The sequence below is a fragment of the Homo sapiens genome, chromosome 2 (assembly GCF_000001405.40).
Source record: "Homo sapiens chromosome 2, GRCh38.p14 Primary Assembly".
NCBI classification, from domain to species: Eukaryota; Metazoa; Chordata; class Mammalia; order Primates; family Hominidae; genus Homo; species Homo sapiens.
This window is the reverse complement of record NC_000002.12, coordinates 200,843,645-200,865,097: the sequence shown is the minus strand read 5'-3', so window position 1 is coordinate 200,865,097 and position 21,453 is coordinate 200,843,645. Positions and strand designations below refer to the sequence as shown.

General features: G+C 44.0%; 1 protein-coding gene and 2 pseudogenes across 4 annotated transcripts, besides 4 other annotated features; 2 read left to right on the top strand and 1 right to left on the bottom strand.

Moving 5' to 3' along the window:
* The first annotated feature begins 439 nt into the window (after window positions 1-439).
* CLK1 (CDC like kinase 1) lies at window positions 440-12,089 on the top strand. Of its 4 annotated transcripts, none has more exons than NM_004071.4 (13): window positions 440-534; window positions 3,236-3,396; window positions 3,632-3,860; window positions 4,883-4,973; window positions 5,352-5,418; window positions 7,009-7,125; window positions 7,214-7,380; window positions 8,113-8,207; window positions 8,287-8,416; window positions 10,012-10,094; window positions 10,403-10,482; window positions 11,105-11,195; window positions 11,649-12,089. In NM_004071.4, the coding sequence occupies exons 2-13, from the start codon at window positions 3,236-3,238 to the stop codon at window positions 11,790-11,792; spliced, it is 1,455 nt and encodes a 484-aa protein (NP_004062.2). In that variant the 5' UTR covers window positions 440-534; the 3' UTR covers window positions 11,793-12,089. The 4 variants fall into 4 exon arrangements, 2 of the variants coding, with proteins under 2 accessions (NP_004062.2, NP_001155879.1); NM_001162407.1 differs by lacking the exon at window positions 440-534 and adding an exon at window positions 537-997; NR_027855.2 differs by lacking the exon at window positions 4,883-4,973.
* Window positions 721-1,270: an enhancer, noted in NCBI's record as "active region_16965". NCBI's record gives its function as "activates an Ori minimal core promoter by ATAC-STARR-seq in GM12878 lymphoblastoid cells {active_cell/tissue: GM12878}" and the evidence as "EXISTENCE:reporter gene assay evidence [ECO:0000049][PMID:35858748]".
* Window positions 1,301-1,380: an enhancer, noted in NCBI's record as "active region_16964". NCBI's record gives its function as "activates an Ori minimal core promoter by ATAC-STARR-seq in GM12878 lymphoblastoid cells {active_cell/tissue: GM12878}" and the evidence as "EXISTENCE:reporter gene assay evidence [ECO:0000049][PMID:35858748]".
* Window positions 2,474-2,523: an enhancer, noted in NCBI's record as "active region_16963". NCBI's record gives its function as "activates an Ori minimal core promoter by ATAC-STARR-seq in GM12878 lymphoblastoid cells {active_cell/tissue: GM12878}" and the evidence as "EXISTENCE:reporter gene assay evidence [ECO:0000049][PMID:35858748]".
* Window positions 14,218-14,512: an enhancer, noted in NCBI's record as "tiled region #5577; K562 Activating DNase matched - State 12:CtcfO". NCBI's record gives its function as "activates a minimal TATA promoter and a strong SV40 promoter by Sharpr-MPRA in K562 cells {active_cell/tissue: K562}" and the evidence as "EXISTENCE:reporter gene assay evidence [ECO:0000049][PMID:27701403]".
* RNA5SP115 (RNA, 5S ribosomal pseudogene 115) lies at window positions 15,954-16,060 on the top strand (annotated as a pseudogene).
* BICD1P1 (BICD cargo adaptor 1 pseudogene 1) lies at window positions 19,689-20,793 on the bottom strand (annotated as a pseudogene).

Sequence of the window (21,453 nt, the reverse complement as noted above, 5' to 3'; positions counted from 1 at the left end):
CCCGCTATGCTGCCCAGGCTGGTCTCGAAATCCTGGGCTCAGCGATCTGCTCGCCTCGGCCTCCCAAAGTGCTAGGGTTACAGGCGTGACCCACCGCGCCGTGAAGTATTAGTTTTAAAGCAATTGTTTTAGTGGTCGCTAACAGGGTACATGCTACTGTGTATACTGATTCCCTCACTTTTCCTTGTTCACAAGTTGTTCCTTGTTCTAGAGTTCAAAAACTATCAGTGAGTGGGGACAACACGCCGACGGCTTCCTTTCATCCGCCACAGCGGGCTCTGGTTCCCTCCCTGGCGCCTGCGCCCACGATGGTCGCGCGCGCGACACGCCCGCCCTTTCCGCCTGCTCGCCCCGTGCATGACCCGCCCCGCGGCGGAGACGCGCTCGCTGCGTCATCAGTGTTTTCGAGACGAGTCTCGACGCAGCAGCTGTCAGCTCCATTTTGTTGTTGGTGCGCGACGCAGTCAGCTGCGTGATTCCCGTGATTGCGTTACAAGCTTTGTCTCCTTCGACTTGGAGTCTTTGTCCAGGACGGTAAGACGCAGGAGGGAGCGGACTAGGTGACAGGGCCGTTCCTGTGAGCCTCGCGGGCGCCTGGCGATGCCCCCTTTTCCTGCTTGTTTGCTGCCCGCCGTCCCCGGCGCGACGACTGCCTGCTCCCTTCACTCCCAGGCTGCACAGTGGCGGCGCGCCCCTCTTTCCTGCGCGGCCGAGCCTGTCGCCGCCGGATCCGGCCTGCGGGGGTAGTTACGGTGTTTGCTAGGCCGGCCGCCCTCTTGGAGCTTCTGCCCTCCGCTGAGGAAGCGGCGCCGCCTGACGCGGGACGGTCGGGCGGGCGCCATGTTGTGAACCGCCTCGGCGGAGCTGTAAGATGGCGGCTGGGCGGAGGCCGGCTTCGGCCCTGTGGCCGGAAAGGCGAGGCTCCCCGTTGAGGGGGGATTTGCTGGGGTTCCAGAATGTGCGTGAGCCAAGCAGCTGTGGGGAAACGTTGTCTGGAGTAAGTGGAGAAAGAGACGGAACCCGTAGGGGTTACAGTTAATGTCTAATGATGAAAGTGTCGGCGTAAACATCGCGAGTGGCTTTGTCCTCAGTGGTGTTAACAAAAACCAGATTTAGGAACCCAAGGAAAGAGAAATGCTGGGGTGTATTTGAAGGAGCGTTGTGACAGAAGTCAGGTGACCGAGAATTTTATGCGATGGCGTTTCAGCCACTCCTCTTGGGTTAGCAGTTGGAGCTTTTTTCTTTTCTTGGAGTCTCGCTCTGTCGCCCAGGCTAGAGTGTAGTGGCGCGATCTCGAGTCACTGCAGCCTCCGCCTCCCGGGTTCAAGCGATTCTCCTGCTTCAGCCTCCGGGATAGCTGGGATTACAGGCGCCCGCCACGACGCCGGGCTAATGTTTGTATTTTTAGTAGAGACAGAGTTTCACCATATTAAGCTGGCCTCAAACTGTTGACCTCAGGTGATCCATCCGCTTCGGCCTCCCAAAGTGCTGGGATTACAGGTGTGAGCCACTGCGCCCAGCCTCCTTTTTTTCTTTTTTGAGACAAGGTCTCGCCCCTGTCGCCCCGGCCGGAGTGCAAGTGGCGCAATGACGGCTCACTGCAGCTTCGACATCTGGGCTCAGGTGATCTTCCCACCTCAGCCTCCTGAGTAGTTGGGACTACAGGCGCGCGCCACCACTCCTGGTTAATTTTTTATTTTTTATAGAGGCGGGGTCTCTCTATATTACCCTGGCTGGTCTCGAATTCCTGGGCTCAAGCAGCCCTCCTGCTTCGGCCTCCCAAAGTGCTGGGGTTACAGGCATAAGCCACGGCCCCCGACCCAATTGGAGGGCTTTAAAAATTATACTCAGGCTGGTCCAATGGTAGTGGGTTATCAGAACTTAATAGTTATTAGTGTCACGAAAATTAGTATACAACCCCTACCGCTAAATTTGACTGGCGTTAAAAAAAAAAGAATTGTAGCGGAAGACACAGAGGGGTCCCGCCGGTAAGAAAGAACGGCAGTTGATGAAGTAATTTCTGTATAATGTCTTTTTCAAGTTGTTAGGTTAGAGATTTTCGATTTTGCTCGAAGCATTTCTGAAAAGAAGGTGGCTCCTACCATTCCCAAAAAGATTGTGTTAACATTGCGTTTAGGATAAATTATGTTGTATGTGCTTGGGAGTGGTACTGGAAAGATGGTGTTTTGTTGTTTTTATATTCTGATGCCACCGTTGCCTTCGTGTGTGATTAAAGTCCTTGGTAGTTTCATTTGTCCGTTTACGGAAATGCTCTGTAATGATGATTCTGTCAGCAACTCAGATATAACTCTGATTACGTTTGCAGTAATCAGTAATGCGGTGTTGGTGAGGAACATTTATGATTGCATTTGAGTTGGAGACTAGTTTCTGGTACACGTTTAAACGGGGAGAATGACGTGTGTTTCACGTGTCTGTGAAGAGACCACTAAAGGCAGGCTTTGTGTGAGCAACATGGCTGTTTATTTCACCTGGGTGCAGGCGGGCTGAGTCAGAAAAAGGAGTCGGCAAAGGGTGGTGGGATTATCATTAGTTCTTATAGGTTTTGGGATAGGCGGTGGAGTTAAGAGCAATGTTTTGGGAGCAGGGGGCGGATCTCACAAAGTACATTCTCAAGGGCGGGGAGAATTACAAAGAACCTTCTTAAGGGTGGGGGAGATTATAAAGAACCTTCCTAAGGGTGGGGGAGATTACAAAGTATATTGATCAGTTAGGTTGGGGCAGAAATAAATCACAATGGTGGAATGTCATCAGTTAAGGCTATTTTTACTTTTTTTGTGGATCTTCAGTTGCTTCAGGCCATCTGGATGTATACGTGCAGGTCACTGGGGATATGATGGCTTAGCTTGGGCTCAGAGGCCTGACAGCGTGGACTTCTATAGTGCTATATTTGTACTACTGGGAGGGCAGGGGTAAAATGTACCAAAATTAGTAAATTGTGATTCCTCCCTCTACTTTTTTCACTTTTTTTTTTTTTTGCATTCTTCCAATAAATCTGGGCATGATATGGCTAATGCAGAGTGCCTGTGAATGAAGTTCAAACTGCAGAATATGGGACAACACAGTAATTGGATTTATCAGTGATTTCAGATTGGGTGATAATGATTCTTGAATTTTGGTCTTAAAACGAGGTCACGAGGGGACCTTTGTAATTACGAATTTTAAACAGCTCAGTGTGGGGTACAATTTAACTAGGAAAAACTTGCCTTTTATGTAGATGAGACACTCAAAGAGAACTTACTGTCCTGATTGGGATGACAAGGATTGGGATTATGGAAAATGGAGGAGCAGCAGCAGTCATAAAAGAAGGAAGAGATCACATAGCAGTGCCCAGGAGAACAAGCGCTGCAAATACAATCACTCTAAAATGTGTGATAGGTAAGGAGGATACTTAAAATGTCTGAATATAACAATACATTACTAGACAAAACTAGTATCACTTAAAATAAGTACCTGATTACTACCATTCGTTTGTTTCCAATGAGAGATTTTGATGGTTTGTAATGTTTGTAAAATTAAGCTGCTTGTGGGGGAGTCTAGGTGCTGTCTTGAAGAGAATGTGAGGATATTTGGTCTTAGCATAAAACATTGAAAATAATTTTTATTTCTCTAGCCATTATTTGGAAAGCAGGTCTATAAATGAGAAAGATTATCATAGTCGACGCTACATTGATGAGTACAGAAATGACTACACTCAAGGATGTGAACCTGGACATCGCCAAAGAGACCATGAAAGCCGGTATCAGAACCATAGTAGCAAGTCTTCTGGTAGAAGTGGAAGAAGTAGTTATAAAAGCAAACACAGGATTCACCACAGTACTTCACATCGTCGTTCACATGGGGTATGAACGTTTTTAAAACATTTTGGAAATTTTATATCCCATGTGGAACAGGGAAACTTGAATTTTTGTGTTTGATTATTTGAGAAAGTTTTAAGATGAAATCATCTCAGTTTTAACCTGCAGGATTTTTTCTGTGTTTGTGCATTGGATAGGAAATTCCGGAAATAAAGTACACATTTAGTTCTATAATTTAATTATTGGTTGGCTCCTAATTGACATTCCAGTGAAATGATGGGAGTTAATTGATTTAATTTAGATTAGTTGAAAATTATTACAAAATATTCTAAAAGGGTTTTTTGTGGTACTTCAAGAAACCTGATTAGTTTTGATCTATTGAAATCACAAAAGTAGAACAGGGCATTTTATTTTTGTATAATTTAGGATTAGGTATGCTTCTTTGTTCTAACAAGTCATGTTTTCTAACCCTTCTTTCACTAAGCAAACCAGAACAGATTTGAACTGTTATGGGTTATATATTAGTATGGAGATCAGCTCAGATGACATTAAAAATGCCGTAGTGTTATTCTTGTATGCCAAATCTTTTTTTCCCCAAAATTAGCACTTTAATTTTATTTACTGTTATAATATTTGTTTTCTTAGATTAGGTAGGAAATCTTAATTTGGCCACCGCCTACTTTGACAAGTAAATATTACATCATACGATTTTGCAACATTAAATTAGAACACTAGAAACTAAAAAATTATGTTTCAGTGAATGCTACAACTAAGCATTTTTTTTTTTTAAGAAAAACAATTGTATTATGTTTTGTTGCCTTGCCACTTTGAGTATCTTATCTGAAAATCTGTTCCTTGCCATGTTTTTCTCCTGTTAACATAAACTATGTGCCCTGTGAATTTCTGGGGACTGAATTTGAAATTGCTCCTGCCAACCGTTTGTGGCCTGGCGTGTATCTGAATGCCTGAATATCTCCCCGCTGAATGAATTTCGTATTCTGCCCTGAATTCACTCGGGTATATTGATTGGCTGGATGATCTTGGTGCCGCCCACTTGACGTTTCCAGAAGAGTCACCGAAGGAAAAGAACCAGGAGTGTAGAGGATGATGAGGAGGGTCACCTGATCTGTCAGAGTGGAGACGTACTAAGTGCAAGATGTATAGAATATTTTTCAACACTTATTAACTTTTCAGATAACATAATCTATATATAGATTAAGCTTTCAGGGATTTGGAAATCTTTTTTTCTTTCTCTTTTTTGTTTTTGTTTTATTTTTCCATTTCTTTTGGTGGGGGGGATTGTATTTTTGCTTTCTTTAGAAATGTAATGTTTGTTATATAGAACTTCCAGAACAGTAATCAAATTAATGAAATTAGACCTAATAATTATGTTTTTTGATGGTGTTGACCAATAAAATATCTAGTGATAAGGAAATTTGTAGCATCAACTAGAATAATCTACATTGATAGCATTTATTGTGATAAGTACATTGTTTCCACTTCTTGATATGACTGAGATTTATTTCTCTCTTTTAGATGAAATTGTTGATACTTTAGGTGAAGGAGCTTTTGGAAAAGTTGTGGAGTGCATCGATCATAAAGCGTAAGTTTCCCATGTTGGGATTACTTTTAGGGAAGTTGGCAATACAGGTAATTGATTTAGCTTTAGAAAGTGGTCTGACCATGAGTTAGATACATATCTTTATACCCTTTTTTACTTGGATGTAAGACACTTCCAGTTAAGAGGTACTTGCCCCTTCATATTTTTTAAACAGCTACTAATAGTATGTATAATTTCTAATTTTAGGCTGAGAACACACTTTATATTGTTTTGAAAGTATTGTTTTGTTGTTCAACTGGACACTGTTGTTAGGCCATATTTTTTTCCCCCACCATATTAGTGGTTCTCAGCCTTGGTTTTATGTTAAGATCCTCCTCGAGAGGTTTGCCTACCCCAGACCTTTTCAGGGTAGTTACCTAGGAATCTATATTTTTAGGAAGTGCTGTAATTCATTCTGATAACATAGCTGGAGATAACTTGGTGTCCCAAGTTTAATTATGTATGTTTATCAAACTACTGATTGAAATTTTTTTTTTTCTCGAGACAGAGTCTCGCTCTGTCACCCAGGGTGGAGTGCAGTGGCGCAATCTCAGCTCACTGCACCCTCTGCCTCCCGGGTTCAGGTGATTGTTCTGCCTCAGCCTCCTGAGTAGCTGGAACTACAGACACGCGCCACCATGCCCAGCTATTGTTTGTATTAGTATTGTATTGTTTGTATTAGTAGAGACTATGTTGGCCAGGCTGGTCTCGAACTCCTGACCTCAGGTGACCTGCCCACCTCAGCCTCCCAAAGTGCTGGGATTACAGGCATGAGCGCTTGGCTCCAGCCATGAAATTTCTTAAGATAGTATAGAATTTTTTCCGTTACTCTTTTTTTTTAGTTCCCTGTTTGTTGTTGTTGTTGTTGTTGTTGTTATTGTTCTTCCTCTTCCTGAATGGCAAAGCATTTTTGAGGGGGCTTCCTACTATTGATTGGTAAGGACATGAGAGCTAGAGCTCTTTTTTTGTTTATTTTTCTTTTCCCTGAGATGGAGTCTTGGTCTGTCGCCCAGGCTGGAGTGCAGTGGTGCAATCTTGGCTCACTGCAACCTCCACCTTCCGAGTTCAAGTAATTCTCCTGCCTCAGCCTCCCAGGAAGCTGGGATTACAGGCACACACCACCGTGCCTGGCTAATTTTCATATTTTTGGTAGAAATAGGGTTTCACCATGTTGGTCAGGCTGGTCTCGAACTTCTGACCTCAAGTGATTTACTACCCTCGGCCTCCCAAAGTGCTGGGATTATAGGCGTGAGAGCCACTGCTCCCGGTCCTAGAGCTCTTTACTCTTTCCCCACTGTATCCTAACTCTTTTGGCAACCTGGACTAAAAGAACATTTGAGATAATGTTTGACAGTGACAGGTACCATATAGGAAGAAGTTGTTTAGCTGAAATACCAAAAAATAACTCATGTGAGTGGTGGTTTGATGAAAGAAATTTGTGTCATTCAGCATGTAATAGAATCAGAACTGAACACTAAACCATAAATTAAAAAAATACAGTGGGTCAGAGTAGTAGTACAGTTTGAAGACAGTAATACCTGGAATTGAGCATCATGTCTGTCATTCTTAAATTTGCATGCATCTTTCTAACAGGGGAGGTAGACATGTAGCAGTAAAAATAGTTAAAAATGTGGATAGATACTGTGAAGCTGCTCGCTCAGAAATACAAGTTCTGGAACATCTGAATACAACAGACCCCAACAGTACTTTGTAAGTATCAGATTAGAACTTGGGAAGTGGTATCAGGTATATTTAAATTAGGAGCAACTATACTTAGCTATTTTTCATGTGTTTGTAGCCGCTGTGTCCAGATGTTGGAATGGTTTGAGCATCATGGTCACATTTGCATTGTTTTTGAACTATTGGGACTTAGTACTTACGACTTCATTAAAGAAAATGGTTTTCTACCATTTCGACTGGATCATATCAGAAAGATGGCATATCAGATATGCAAGTCTGTGAATTGTAAGTTCTTGGTATATCTTCGTTAATTTGCTGGTTTTATCCATTCCACATATCAAAATGTGCATCCTAAGTGTGTACAATTTTTATTTGATTAAAAATAAAGGGGGAGGAAGAATAGGTATGAAGAGATTTGATTACAGGCTGTTGATCCAGCAGTGTACATTTCATTCAGCAAGTAGGATATCCACCATATAACAACGTACTTTGTTGCAGACTATGATTTAGACTTTTCTGATGCGCAAAAATAGTAACTTCGAATGCTGGGTAAAAATTAAGGCGTGATATATCTCATAAAAGAAAGCTTCATAAGAGGTAGTAAGTTTTAGTTACTGGTGATTTTCTAGCAGACTGGAATGTTGACCATTCTTTGGGAAAGGAATCAGAGGTTTTTTGTTGGGTTTTTTTGTTTTTTGAAATGGAGTCTCGCTTTGTTGTTCAGGCTGAAGTGCAGTGGCGCAGTCTTCACTCACTGCAAACTCTGCCTCCCCAGTTCAAGTGATTCTCCTGCCTCAGCCTCCCGAGTAGCTAGGACTACAGGCACACGCCACCACACCCGGCCAATTTTTGTAATTTTGGTAGAGACAGGGTTTCACCATATTGGTCAGGCTGGTCTCGAACTCCTGACCTCAGGTGATTACAGGCGTGAGCCACTGCACCCGGCCTGTTGTGGGGTTTTGTGATTTGGTTTGGTTTGGTGTTTTCTGATTACAGCAACTTTCTCTTTATTCTCAGTTTTGCACAGTAATAAGTTGACTCACACAGACTTAAAGCCTGAAAACATCTTATTTGTGCAGTCTGACTACACAGAGGCGTATAATCCCAAAATAGTAAGTCTTCCAAAATATTCATAAAGTATCTTATGCCTTAATAGCTTATGCCTTCTTAACCATCATTTATGATTTTCAGAAACGTGATGAACGCACCTTAATAAATCCAGATATTAAAGTTGTAGACTTTGGTAGTGCAACATATGATGACGAACATCACAGTACATTGGTATCTACAAGACATTATAGAGCACCTGAAGTTATTTTAGGTGAGTATTAATTGTCCTTTGAGAACCTTTGTATTTCCTTATTGAGACTTAAAATTTTTTTAGCAGTTTTAGGTCTTACTTGTGGGGCTTTATCATATTCTCTTTAAGGGATAAGTATCATGAAGTGCATTATGGATTTTAAGCTCTCAATTGTACCAGATAATTAGCTCTGGGAATTTGAGCAAGTGGCTTAACCTTTCTGGAATTGTTTTCACATTTGTAATATGTGGTAGGGTTTTTAAATGTAATTGTTTAATGCCAGGTGGGGCGCGGTGGCTCACATCTGTAATCTCAGCACTTTGGGAGGCCAAGGGTGGGGCGCGGTGGCTCACATCTGTAATCCCAGCACTTTGGGAGGCCAAGGCGGGCAGACCACATGGTCAGGAAATCGAGACCATCCTGGCTAATATGGTGAAACCCCATCTCTACTAAAAATACAAAAAATTAGCTGGGTGTGGTGGTACACGTCAGTAGTTCCAGCTACTCAGGAGGCTGAGGCAGAATTGCTTGAACACCGGGAGGCGGAGGTTGCAGTGAGCCAAGATTGCGCCACTGCACTCCGGCCTGGGCGACAGAGCGAGACTCCATCTCAGAAAATTGTTTAATGCCTATTTTATTCCAGACTATATATAACACTATATAATTTATTTATTTTTATCATTTATTTATTTTTTAGACGGAGACTTACTCTGTCGCCCAGGCTGGAGTGCAGTGGTGCAATCTTGGCTCACTGCAACTTCTGCCTCCTGGGTTCAAGCAATTCTCCTGCCTCAGCCTCCTGAGTAGCTGGGATTATAGGCACCCACCACCACACCCGGTTAATTTTCTTATTTTTGGTAGAGATGGGGTTTTTACCATGTTGGCAGGCTGGTCTCAAACTGCTGACCTGGAGCAATCTGCCTGCCTTGGCTTTGCAAAGTGCTGGGATTACAGGCATAAGCCACTGCGCCCGGCCATATATATTGTATTTAACCTTGGATTAAGTGATTGCTTTAGGATCTTCCAGCTCAAACATCACATTGCATATATATGTGTATATATATAATTTTTTGGGGGGGGGGCGGAGTCTTGCTCTGTCACCCAGGCTAGAGTGCAGTGGCGCGATCTCGGCTCACCGCAAGCTCCGCCTATGGGGTTCACTCCATTGTCCCACCTCAGCCTCCTGAGTAGCTGGGACTACAGGTGCCTGCCACCATGCCTGGCTAATTTTGTTTTTGTATTTTTAGTAGAGACGGAGTTTCACCGTGTAGTCAGGATGGTCTTGATCTCCTGCCCTCGTGTTCCACCTGCCTCAGCCTCCCAAAGGGCTGGGATTATGCCTGTAGCGTGAGCCACTGTGCCCGGCCAATTCAGATATATATATATCTTAATAGAGGTGGGATCTCGCTGTGTTGCCCAGGCTGGTCTTGAACTCCTGAGCTCAAGCAGTTCTCCCATCTTGGCCTCCCAAAGTGCTGGGATTACAGGTGTGAGCCACTGTGCCCAGCCTACATTACATGTGTTTTTTTTTTTAAAGTATTAGTGTTAACTAACTTTTTAATTTCTTTAACAAACATTGAGTATTTTTTTTCCTTAAATTTTGCTTTGCTTTGCAGCCCTAGGGTGGTCCCAACCATGTGATGTCTGGAGCATAGGATGCATTCTTATTGAATACTATCTTGGGTTTACCGTATTTCCAGTAAGTGACAATGATCTATTTCAACCTTGCTTTGCACAAGAAAGGTGCCTGTTTATATGAATAAATACTTTTGCTTCCCCCATTATAGACTATTAATTGTAGATAAGCATAAATAAACTAATTCATATTTCTTTCATAATTGTTTTATTTAAAACATCTTTCAGTATATAAGCAATTATCCGTGTCCATGTAGGGAATCATTGGCGAGTTTGTTCTGCAAGCCTTAATGTTAGTTTTTTTGCTGTCAGCTTTAACTGTGTCTGTTTTGGTGGTCATCTTCCCCAAGTCTGTTTTTATTTTATTTCTAGACACACGATAGTAAGGAGCATTTAGCAATGATGGAAAGGATTCTTGGACCTCTACCAAAACATATGATACAGAAAACCAGGTACGTTTTAAGAGTTAGTGACATCCTTAGTATCATTTGATCACATCTGCTGATTAGAACTTAATTTTTTTTTTTTTTTTGAGATGGAGTCTTGCTCTGTTGCCCAGGCTGGAGTGCAGTGGCGTGACCTCGGCTCAATGCAAGCTCTCCCTCCTGGGTTCACGCCATTTTCCTGTCTCAGCCTCCCGAGTAGCTGGGACTACAGGCACTCGCCACCACGCCCGCCTAATTTTTTTGTATTTTTAGTAGAGACAAGGTTTCACCATGTTAGCCAGGATGGTCTCGATCTCCTGACCTTGTGATCCGCCCACCTCGGCCTCCCAAAGTGCTGAGATTACAGGCGTGAGCCACCGCACCTGGCCAGAACTTAATTTTTTTTTTTAAATTTTCACTCTACCAAGTCTCAGGCGCTGATTAGGACTTTATAAATAATGAAGTCAAACTAATATTTTTTCAGTTAAATAGTAGATTACCTTGGTGCAAAGCAGGTAACATTTCTATCCCATGGCTGCCATTTAAATCTCTAGAAAAGTGATCTGGGAAAGCATAGTAATTGATACCTTTGCTAGCTGTTTTAAGTTTTCAGTGTTATAAACATGAATGGATATTGACTTATTTTTAGGAAACGTAAATATTTTCACCACGATCGATTAGACTGGGATGAACACAGTTCTGCCGGCAGATATGTTTCAAGACGCTGTAAACCTCTGAAGGTAAGCCTTTGAGACATTGCTCAAATAGTCAAAACTGAGTTTCTTCTGTTTGTCTTTTGAGACCGAGCCTTGCTTCGTTGTCCAGGCTGGAGTAGAGTGGCACGATGTTGGCCCAGCTCACTGCAACCTCTGCATCCTAGGCTCAAGCAGGTCTCAGCCTCCCAAGTAGCTGGGATTACAGATGGATGCCACCACGCTTTTTTTTTTTTTTTTTTTTTTTTTTCAAGTAAAGACAAGTTTTACTATGTTGGCCTGGCTGGTCTTGAACTCCTGGCCTCAAGTGATCCACCTGCCTTGGCCTCCCAGAGTGCTGGGATTATAGGCGTGAGCGACCATGCCTGGCCTCTTTTCTGTTTTTATGGTGGTTATATATATATGGTTTACTATACTGTTACATAGTGTAGTCAATGGTAGTGGAAAAGGCTGTTGAATGAATTTCTTTTTTTCTTCCAGGAATTTATGCTTTCTCAAGATGTTGAACATGAGCGTCTCTTTGACCTCATTCAGAAAATGTTGGAGTATGATCCAGCCAAAAGAATTACTCTCAGAGAAGCCTTAAAGCATCCTTTCTTTGACCTTCTGAAGAAAAGTATATAGATCTGTAATTGGACAGCTCTCTCGAAGAGATCTTACAGACTGTATCAGTCTAATTTTTAAATTTTAAGTTATTTTGTACAGCTTTGTAAATTCTTAACATTTTTATATTGCCATGTTTATTTTGTTTGGGTAATTTGGTTCATTAAGTACATAGCTAAGGTAATGAACATCTTTTTCAGTAATTGTAAAGTGATTTATTCAGAATAAATTTTTTGTGCTTATGAAGTTGATATGTATCTGAACAGTTTGTTCTAAGTACCATTTTTCTTCCTACTTCTATTAAAGAATGGACATAGATTTCTGTTTTTGGAGACTTCCTCAAGTCTTTGGGAAAATTTAGCTTCATTTCCATTTTAGGGATTGTCAAGATTGAGACATTGCCCCCTAAGTTAAATGTAATGAAACTAGATTATGGGACACACAGAACTTAAGATTAGCCGAGAAGAGTTCCATTTTATTCCTACTCAAACTTGGTATTGCGGTTTGCTGTTAATTGTTGCACAGGATCTGAAGTCATTTGCAGAATCACACTGTGGTGGAGCTTTCATTCCTTTGCAGCCTAGTCTGTGAATTTATCAAGTGTGAGTGTGTGTAATACAGCAGATTTTTGTCTGGTTTCATCTATGTTTGATCCATTTGGGATCCTGAGGCTTAGATCTTTCCACAGTTGTTTTTTGGGTTTGGGGGGCTTTCTTTTCCCTCTGTCTCTCTCTCTCCTCTCTCTCTCTTTTTTCTCTTTCTCTGTCTCTTTCTTTTTCCCTCAGCAGATTCTCATTCTCTATCCTCTCCCCTCCCCTCCCCACATTTCTTTCTTTCAGAAATTTTTAAATGCTGGCCAGGTGCGATGGCTCACAACTATAATCCTAGCACTTTAGTAGGCCGAAGTGGGCAGATCATTTGAGGCCAGGAGTTTGAGGTTTGAGACCAACATGGTGAAACCCCATCTCTACTAAAAAATTAGCCAGGCATGGTGGCAAGCACCTGTAATGCCAGCTATGTGGGGATGCTGAAGCTCGAGAATAGCTTGAACCCGGGAGGTGGAGTTTGCAGTGAGTCCAGATGGCACCACTGTACTCCAGCCTGAGTAATAGAATGAGACTGTCTCAAAAAAAAAATGCAATTAGGCCTCAGAGATTGTAAGCAGACAGAGTCTCGCTCTATTGCTCAGGCTGGAGTGCAGTGTCGTGATCTCAGCTCACTGCAACATCTGCCTCCCAGGTTCAAGCAATTCTTGAGCCTCAGCCTCCTGAGTAGCCAGGATTACAGATGTCAGCCACCACGCCTGGCTGATTTTTGTGTTTTTTAGTAGAGACTGGTTTTCACCATGTTGGCCAGGCCAGTCTGGAACTCCTGGCCTCAAGTGATCCACCCGCTTCGTCCTCCCAGATGCTGGGATTACAAGCCTCAGCCATGGCACCTGGCCTGAATCCTAAATTTTGTGTTAATGTAAATTGCCATTGTAAATGGTGGTGTGGCTAATCATTTGTACCAATGAGAATCAAAAGTACATTAGTTACATGTTTGACTAAAATGTGTTAGATTGGATTGACAAACCAAACCTTAAGGGCCTATATTTTCTTAGGTTTAAAAGGTAGGGAGTTAATTCCAGGCTTTGAGGCTTGTTCCTCAGGAATGGTGTCCAGAGCAAATTTGCTAACATCCCATTTGTTAGAGAAGTCACACAGCTCCATCCAGAATCATGGTACTGCAGGGTTGTAGGGCAAAAGAGGTGGAGAATTTGGGCCATCAAGGCAGTCAGTTCACCCACCCTACCTATCCCCAATCTATTAACATAGTAGCCAGAGTAAGCCGTTAAAACTATTATATCACTCATGTCAAAATCTCCATTTCATCCAGCAATCTGGGTATCTTACCCAGAGGAAGTCATATGAAAAAGATGTGTACAGCAGCATGATTTGCAATTGCAAAAATATGGAACCAGCCTAAATGCCCATCAACCAATGAGTGGATAAAGAAAATGTGGTATATCAGGCACATGTCCTCAGGACCTCCTGAGGGCTGTGTCACAAAAAAAAGTATGTATACACCAGGGAATGCTACTCAGCCATAAAAAGGAACAAAATATGGTATTCACAGCAACCTGGATGGAGCTGGAGACCATTATTCTAAGTAAAGTAACTCAGGAATGGAGAACCAAATACTGTATGTTTTCATTTGTAAGTGGGAGCTAAGCTATGAGGACGGAAAGGCATAAGAATAATATAATGGACTTTTGGGACTTGGGGAAGGGTGGGAGGGAGGTGAGGGATAAAAGACCACATTGGGTACAGTATACGCTGCTTGGATGACGGGGTGCACCAAAATCTCAGAAATTACCACTAAATAACTTACCTATGTAATCAAAAACCACCTGTTCCCCCAAAACTATTGAAAGAAAAAGAAACAAGGGGAAAAATCTTCAATGGCTTCAGATCCTGCTTTTGGGGAGAAAATGGAAAAAAAAAATCCTCCAATGACTTCCATGTCAGTTTTACGAAAGTATTTACAGTCACCTTTAAAAAGGTCTACAATATCGCCTGTGCCACTCCACTTTCCTGACCACGTGGCTACTTTTCCCCCACATGCGGCGCTATCGCCTCACCAAGTATAGTCCATCCTCTTAGATATCCACATTCCCCTCCCGTCATTCAAGAGTTTATTCGTTTCAGTGAAGTATCTATCCTCTGACTGCATTACTTAAAATTGCAATACCCTCCCGTGTCGACTCTACATCCTCTTCTTTGCTTCCCCCCACCCCTACTCTTAAGAGTTTTTACTGGGGTGGGGCGCAGTGGCTCTTTCTTGTAATCCCAGCACTTTGGGAGGCTGAGGCAGACTGATTGCTTAAGTCCAGGAGTTCAAGACCAGCCTGGGCAACATGGCGAAACTCCATCTCTACAAAAGATAGAAAAATTAGCTGGAGTTCGAGACCAGCCTGACCAACATGGAGAAACCCCGTCTCTACTAAAACTACAAAAAATATTAGCCAGGCGTGGTGGCACATGCCTGTAATCCCAGCTACTCGGGAGACTGAAGCAGGAGAATTGCTTGAATCTGGGAGGTGGAGGTTGCAGTGAGCTGAGATCATGCCATTGCACTCAAGCCTGGAAAACAAGAGCAAAACTCTGTCTCAAAAAAAAAAAAAAAAAAAAAAAAAAGGAAAAAAGAAAAATTAGCTGGGTGTGGTGGCATGCACCTGTAGTCTCAGCTACTTGGTGGGGCTGAGGTGGGAGGATCGCTTGAGCCTGGGAGGCGGAGGTTGCAGTGAGCTGGGACCATGCTACCGCATTCCAGCCTGGGTGACACAGTGAGACCCCATCTCCAAAAAAACGTTCACTGCCCAGATGCAGTGGCTCATGCCTATAATCCCAACACTTTGGGAACCCAAAACATTGCTTGAGCCCAGGAGTTCGAAACCAGCTTGGGCAATATAGGGAGATGCTGTCTGCAAAAAGTTAAAAAATAGTCAAGTGTGGTGGCATGCTTCTGTAGTCCCAGCTACTTGGGAGTTGAATTCATGGGCTCAAGCAATTCACCTGGGGGTAGTGGCTCACACCTGTAATCTCAATACTTTGGGATGCCAAGGCAGGCAGATTGCTTGAGTCCGGGAATTCAAGACCTGACTGGGCAACATGGTGAAATCTGGAGATGGCCTGGAAGCCCACGCACCTCCCTGGTACCTTGCCCTAGGCAGCTCTTCCACCTGGCTGTTCTTGAGTTGTATCCTTTATAATAAACTGGTAATCCAGAAGTAAACTGCTTTCCTGAGTCCTGTGAGCTTTTCTACCAAATTACTGAACCCAAAGAGGAAGTCATGGGAACTACAAACCTCCAGTTTATAGCCAGTCAGCTCTCAGCTGCCATTTGTAAATTCTCCCAATACTTTGAAGAGTTGACCCCTTTGGACCGCCCTTTTCCTTTCTCAGGGATCTTAGCCCCTCAAGTCATCACTGCCTTGGTAACTGCTTGGGGTTTTTTAACTTAAGTATTTTACATTTTGTCCAGGTTTTCTAGTTATTTTTAATGAGAGGGTTTGTTGGAATAAGTGATCCTACCATAGCTAGAAGCAGAATTCCCAGGCATACAATACTGAAGGAAGAAAAGTGAGCATAAAAAGGGTCCCTTGGGCTTTGTTAACAAAGACCAGCCAAATCAAAACCAGTCTATAGCCCTACCACCCTGAATGCACCTGAACTCAGAAGCTAAGCAAGCTCAGGCCTGGTTAGTCCTTGGGTGGGATTCCTACGGGGTGCTGTAAGCTTTTGACCCGCGACTCACTCTTGCCAGGTACAGTGACTTGCACCTATAGTCCTAGCTACTCAGGAGGATCGCTTGAGACCAAGAATTGGAGTCCAGCTAAGGTAACAGTGGGAACCCATCTCTAAAAACAAAAACTTGGTGTTTTATCCTAAATAGCAAGACTCTGGTTTTTCATTTTGTATGTCAATTGGCAACTAAGACATTCGTAAATCTACATCCATAAGCTTTGTTTCCTTGAATCTTGTGAAATTCACTCTACTTGCTAGGTTTATAAATTTGGCAAATGCCAACCATGGAATAACTCCCACTACATCACCTTCATAGAGCTTTTTTTTTTTTCAAGCTCACCCACCCCCAACCATAAAGCACTTTGGATTGTAGGTTCTAGAAGATTTCTCCTTGTGTGTCTCACATCTCTCTGAAAACCCCTGTGTTTCTTTTTTTTTTTTTTTTCCTCCCTAACCCACCACCTTCCTGGGTCAAACCCCTGTGTTTCTAATCCCTGGACCTTAATTAATGGCATTGTGTAGATTCATACTTATATACATGTTGCCTTAAATTTTTCTTTTCTTGGGAATTTGAAGGCATCCATAGCTTATATTATTTCTTGAGAACTGATGTTTTCAACATTGATATTTTGATAATTTTAAAATCAGCCTTCTTTAGGTGTAATTTACATACAATAAGTTTACCCATCTTAAGCGCATGGTACAATATTTTGACAGATGAACACATAGCCACCACCACAACCAATATTCAGTTACAACATTTTCTTAGCATATGGCTGATTAAAAAGAAGAAAAGAAAGAACATCTCCACAATGCCCATACGTTTCCTCATACTCCTTTTCCTTTCTTTTCTGTTTTCTTTTCTCTTTCCTTCCTTCTTTCTTTCTTTTTCTGTCTCTTTCTTTCTTTCCTTCTCTCTTTCTTTCTTTCATCTCTTTTTCCCTTCCTTCCTTCCTTCTTTCCTTCCTTCTTTCCTTCCTTCCTTCCTTCTCTCCCTCCCTCCCTCTCTCCCTCTTTCTTTCTTCCCTCGCTCGCACACAGGAGGTAGAGGTTGCAGTGAGCTGAGATCGCACCATTGCACTCCAGCCTGGGCAACAAGAGCGAAACTCGGTCTCAAAAAAGAAAAAAGAAAATCCCATTACTTTCTGGTTCTCTCTCTATGCATTTGCACCTGCCCATATGTACACATTGTAAAACTCTGCGAATGAGATTGCTGTAATTATTGTTCTGCCCCCCTTTTTACACTTAACAGATACAAGTATTCGTGTAAAAAGTCTGACAGATTGTATTTTCCAGAAATGTCTGCAACAATATCTCCCACTTCACATGCTCTTTGGAACTAGTAACTGCTTCAGAAAATGGACTATGGGAGACATCATTCTAGGTCATAAAAGGTCATGCAACTTCCATCTGGTCTTCATAGAACACCTGCTCTCTGGCAGCTCCCTGTTGGAGGGCTACCTTTTAGAATCCAGTCACCATGCTATGAGAAGCCTATCACATAGAAAGACTACATGTAAGTAACCTTTGGAAAGCCCTGATCTTCAAGTCATCTCAAGTCAGATGCTAGTGACTCCAAGCCTCTGTCATTTGAGTTACTTCCCTTATTGAACCACAGAATCTGTGAGCATAATAACATGGTTATTGTTTTATGCCACTGAACTTTAGCATATAGCAACATATAACTGAAATAAGTTCTTGGGATTGGAACAGCTGAATCAAAAAATATGTTCATTTTGGCCAGGCATGGTGGCTCACACCTATAATCCTAGCACTTTGGGAGACTGAGGTGGGTGGAATGCCTGAGCTCAGGAGTTCAAGACCAGCCTGGGAAACATGGTGAAACCCTATTAGCCGGGTGTGGTGGCGGGTGCCTATAGTCCCAGCTACTTGGGAGGCTGAGGCATGAGAATAGCTTGAACCCAGGAGGCGGAGGCTGCAGTGAGCCGAGATCATCCCACTATACTCCAGCCTGGGCAACAGAGCGAGACTCTGTCTCCAAAAAAAAAAAAAAATTTTTTTTTTCATTTATAATTCTGACCCAATGCCAATTGCTTCTCATCAATCATTGATTCAAAAATAAATAAGAAATCTGGCTGGGCATGGTGGCTCACATCCGTAATCCCACTTTTGGGAGGCTGAGGTGGGCTGATCACATGAGGTCAGGAATTCGAGACCAGCCTGGCCAACATGGCGAAACCCCATCTCTACTAAAAACACAACAAATTAGTCAGGCGTGGTGGCACACACCTGTAATCCCAGCTACTCGGGAGGCTGAGACACAAGAATTGCTTGAACCTGGGAGGTGTGGGTTGCAGTGAGCCGAGATTGCACTACTGTACTCCAGCCTGGGTGACAGAGTGAGACTTCATCTCACACACAAAAAAAAAAAAAAGCCTGGGTGCAGTGGCTCACGCCTGTAGTCCCAGCACTTTGGGAGGCCGAGGCAGGCGGATCACCTGAGGTCAAGAGTTCAAGACCAGCCAGTCTCTACTAAAAATACAAAAATTAGAATGGTGTCATTGTGCATGTCTGTAATCCCAGCTACTTGGGAGGCTGAGGCAGGAGAAATACTTGAACCTGGGAGGTGGAGGTTGCAGTGAGCCAAGACTGCGCCATTGCACTCCATCCTGGGCAACAGAGTGAGACGCCACCTCAAAATAATAATAATAAGTAAAATAAAAAATAAAAATAAAAACATAGAAAATTTGAATAGACCTATAACAAGAAATTGAATTTGTAATACAAAAATTTTGCACAAAGAAAAACTCAGGCCTAGATGCCTTCTCTGGTGAATTCTCTGGTCAAAGCCCTAATCTCCACAGTCTAGACCTACATGCTAAGAGCACACAGCTCTGCCTAGTGCTGACACCAGACCAACACAGAGGGAGGTGGGCAGGCAGCGACAGGCCCATGAGCATAGACCACAGCATCTGAGACTGTCAGTGCATGAGGAATTAAGGAAGCAAATATAGTATCAAAATATCAAAAGTGCACATGTTGATCAGATAAAAAAAGAACATTGTAACAAAGAGCCCCGTGTAACAGAGAGCCCCGTGTTTCTAGAGGGCTCTTGGCAAGCCTGGCAGCCAGGGAAGGATCTTCAGCCTGTACAGAGGCCTTTCCACGCAGCAGCTTTCGACATGCTCAACATTAAAGCTTTTTTTTTACTCTATTGCCCAGGCTGAGTGCAGTGGCGTGTTGATGACTCACTGCAATCTTGATTTGCAGGTCTCAAGTGATCCTCCCACCTCAGCCTCCCAAGAAGCTGGGACCACGGGTGCATGCCACCATGTCCCGCTACTTTTTTGTAGAGATACGGTCTCAGTCTCGCTATGTTGCCCAGGCTGGTCTCCAACTCCTGAGCTCAAGCCATCCTCCTGCCTCGGCCTTACAAAGTGTTGGGATTACAGGCATGAGCCATCACTCTGACCAACATTAAAGCTTTTTTTCCCTCCCATTAAAAACTCGGGGAATGGGCCAGGCAAGGTGGCTTACACCTATAATGTGGAACACCTGGTTGGTCAGCCCAGTGCCCTTGGCCCTGTCACTGGCGCAGGTGCAGGCATAACATAAGCTTGGGGTGGCCAGCTTGGCCTTGGGGGCAGCTTTGGTGGGGTCACACCAGGTCTGTGTGGTCCAGCTTGAGCAGCTCCAGCCACTGGGTCAGTGCCAGCTTCTGCAGGATGACCATGCACAGCAGTGAGTTCAGTGCCTTCTCATCCTCTGCAGCTGACAGCTGCTGCTGCGTCTCCTCCAGCTGTGATGTACTCATTTCACCTGGTGGCAAACTGGTGCACAGTGAGGAGAAGGTGGCCACGTCCTCCTCAGAGGCGAGCACCTGGAGCTCATTGCAGAGCTTCATCCTGGTCTTGGTAACCATGGTCTTCTTCTTCTCCTACTTGCCCTTCAGCTTGGAGAGGGCCACCTTGGCTGCCTGCTGGCTGGCCTGCAGCACAGTGTGCAGCGTGGTGAGCTGCTCCCACTTGGTGCTGAGCAGCGACTTCAACTTGAGGATCTTTTTCACGAGAGCCTCCTTGAACTTGTCCGTGGTTGGGCCCAGCTCTTGCGAGGCGATGCGCTGCCACAACAGCTCCATTATGTGGTTCACAGCTGCCTGCAGGTGCTTGATCTGGTGGCAGATGATACGAATCAAGTGGTAGATATTCATGGGCTCCCAGCATGGGTCACCCAGGGGTGATGGCAGCAAGGGGCTACATGAAGGGCTGATGTCCCTGGTCCTGCTGTGTGCTTGGCCTGCCTCTGTAGCCAGCAGCCCCCTGGGTAGGAGGATGGAGGAGTTGCCCATGGGGCTGGTGCAGCTGGCCCCGTCCTGGCCCTCAGGTAGTAGTCCCCCATGACAGAGCTGGGCCTCCAGTTGTTTCACATGCACACGTGATGGTAGAGGTTGGCCAGCTCCTCACTGAAGATCACCAGCTCATCCTGGGCCACACTCAGGCTGGCCCTGCGTCTCACCGGCAATGTTGCTCACTTTCAGCAACTTCTCCAGCTGGGCCAGTGCTGGCAGCTGGCCTTCTCCAGCAGGGAGACCTCCGCGGTGAGCGCCTGGACTTTGGCCTTGTATAGGCCCTCTCCTCAGCGTGCTGGGTCTCGCGGGCCTCATGCCTGCTGCGCAGTGCCCTGAGCTGCTCTTGGAGCTCGCCAGCCTCGGCAATGCCACAGCCACATGGTACCTGCAGGCCAGGATCTTGCCTGTTGATGTCCACCTCGTAGTAGTCACCATCCGTGATGTTGCAGTCCCTCTCGTTGTCCTGGGCTGTCTGCCACACCTTGCAGGTTCAAAATGGGTTATAGCAGTGGAGACAACTTGTAATGTTGACAACGCATTTGGCCCAGGAACTGCTAACAAACATACAGTGCAGTAGTGGTTCAAGAAGTTTTGCAAAGGAGATGAGAGCCCTGAAGATGAGGAGCATAGTGGCCAGCCATGGGGAGTTAACAACGACCAATTGAGAGCAATCATCGAAGCTGATCCTCTTACAACTACACGAGAAGTTGCCGAAGAACTCGACATCGACCATTCTTTGGTCTTTCGGTATTTGAAGCCAATTGGAAAGGTGAAAAAACTCAGTAAGTGGGTGTCTCGTGAGCTGACCAAAAATCTAAAAAATCACTGTTTTGAAGTGTTGTCTTTTCTTATTCTACTCAACAACAATGAATCATTTCTCAATTGGATTGTGATGTGTGATTAAAAGTGGATTTTATATGACAACTGGCAACAACCAGCTCAGTGGCTGGACTGACAAGAAGCTCCAAAGCACTTCCTAAAGCCAAACTTGCACCAAAAAAAAAAGGTCATGGTCACTGGTGGTCTGCTGCTGCTCTGATCCACTACAGCTTTTTGAATCCCAGCAAAACCATTACATCTGAGA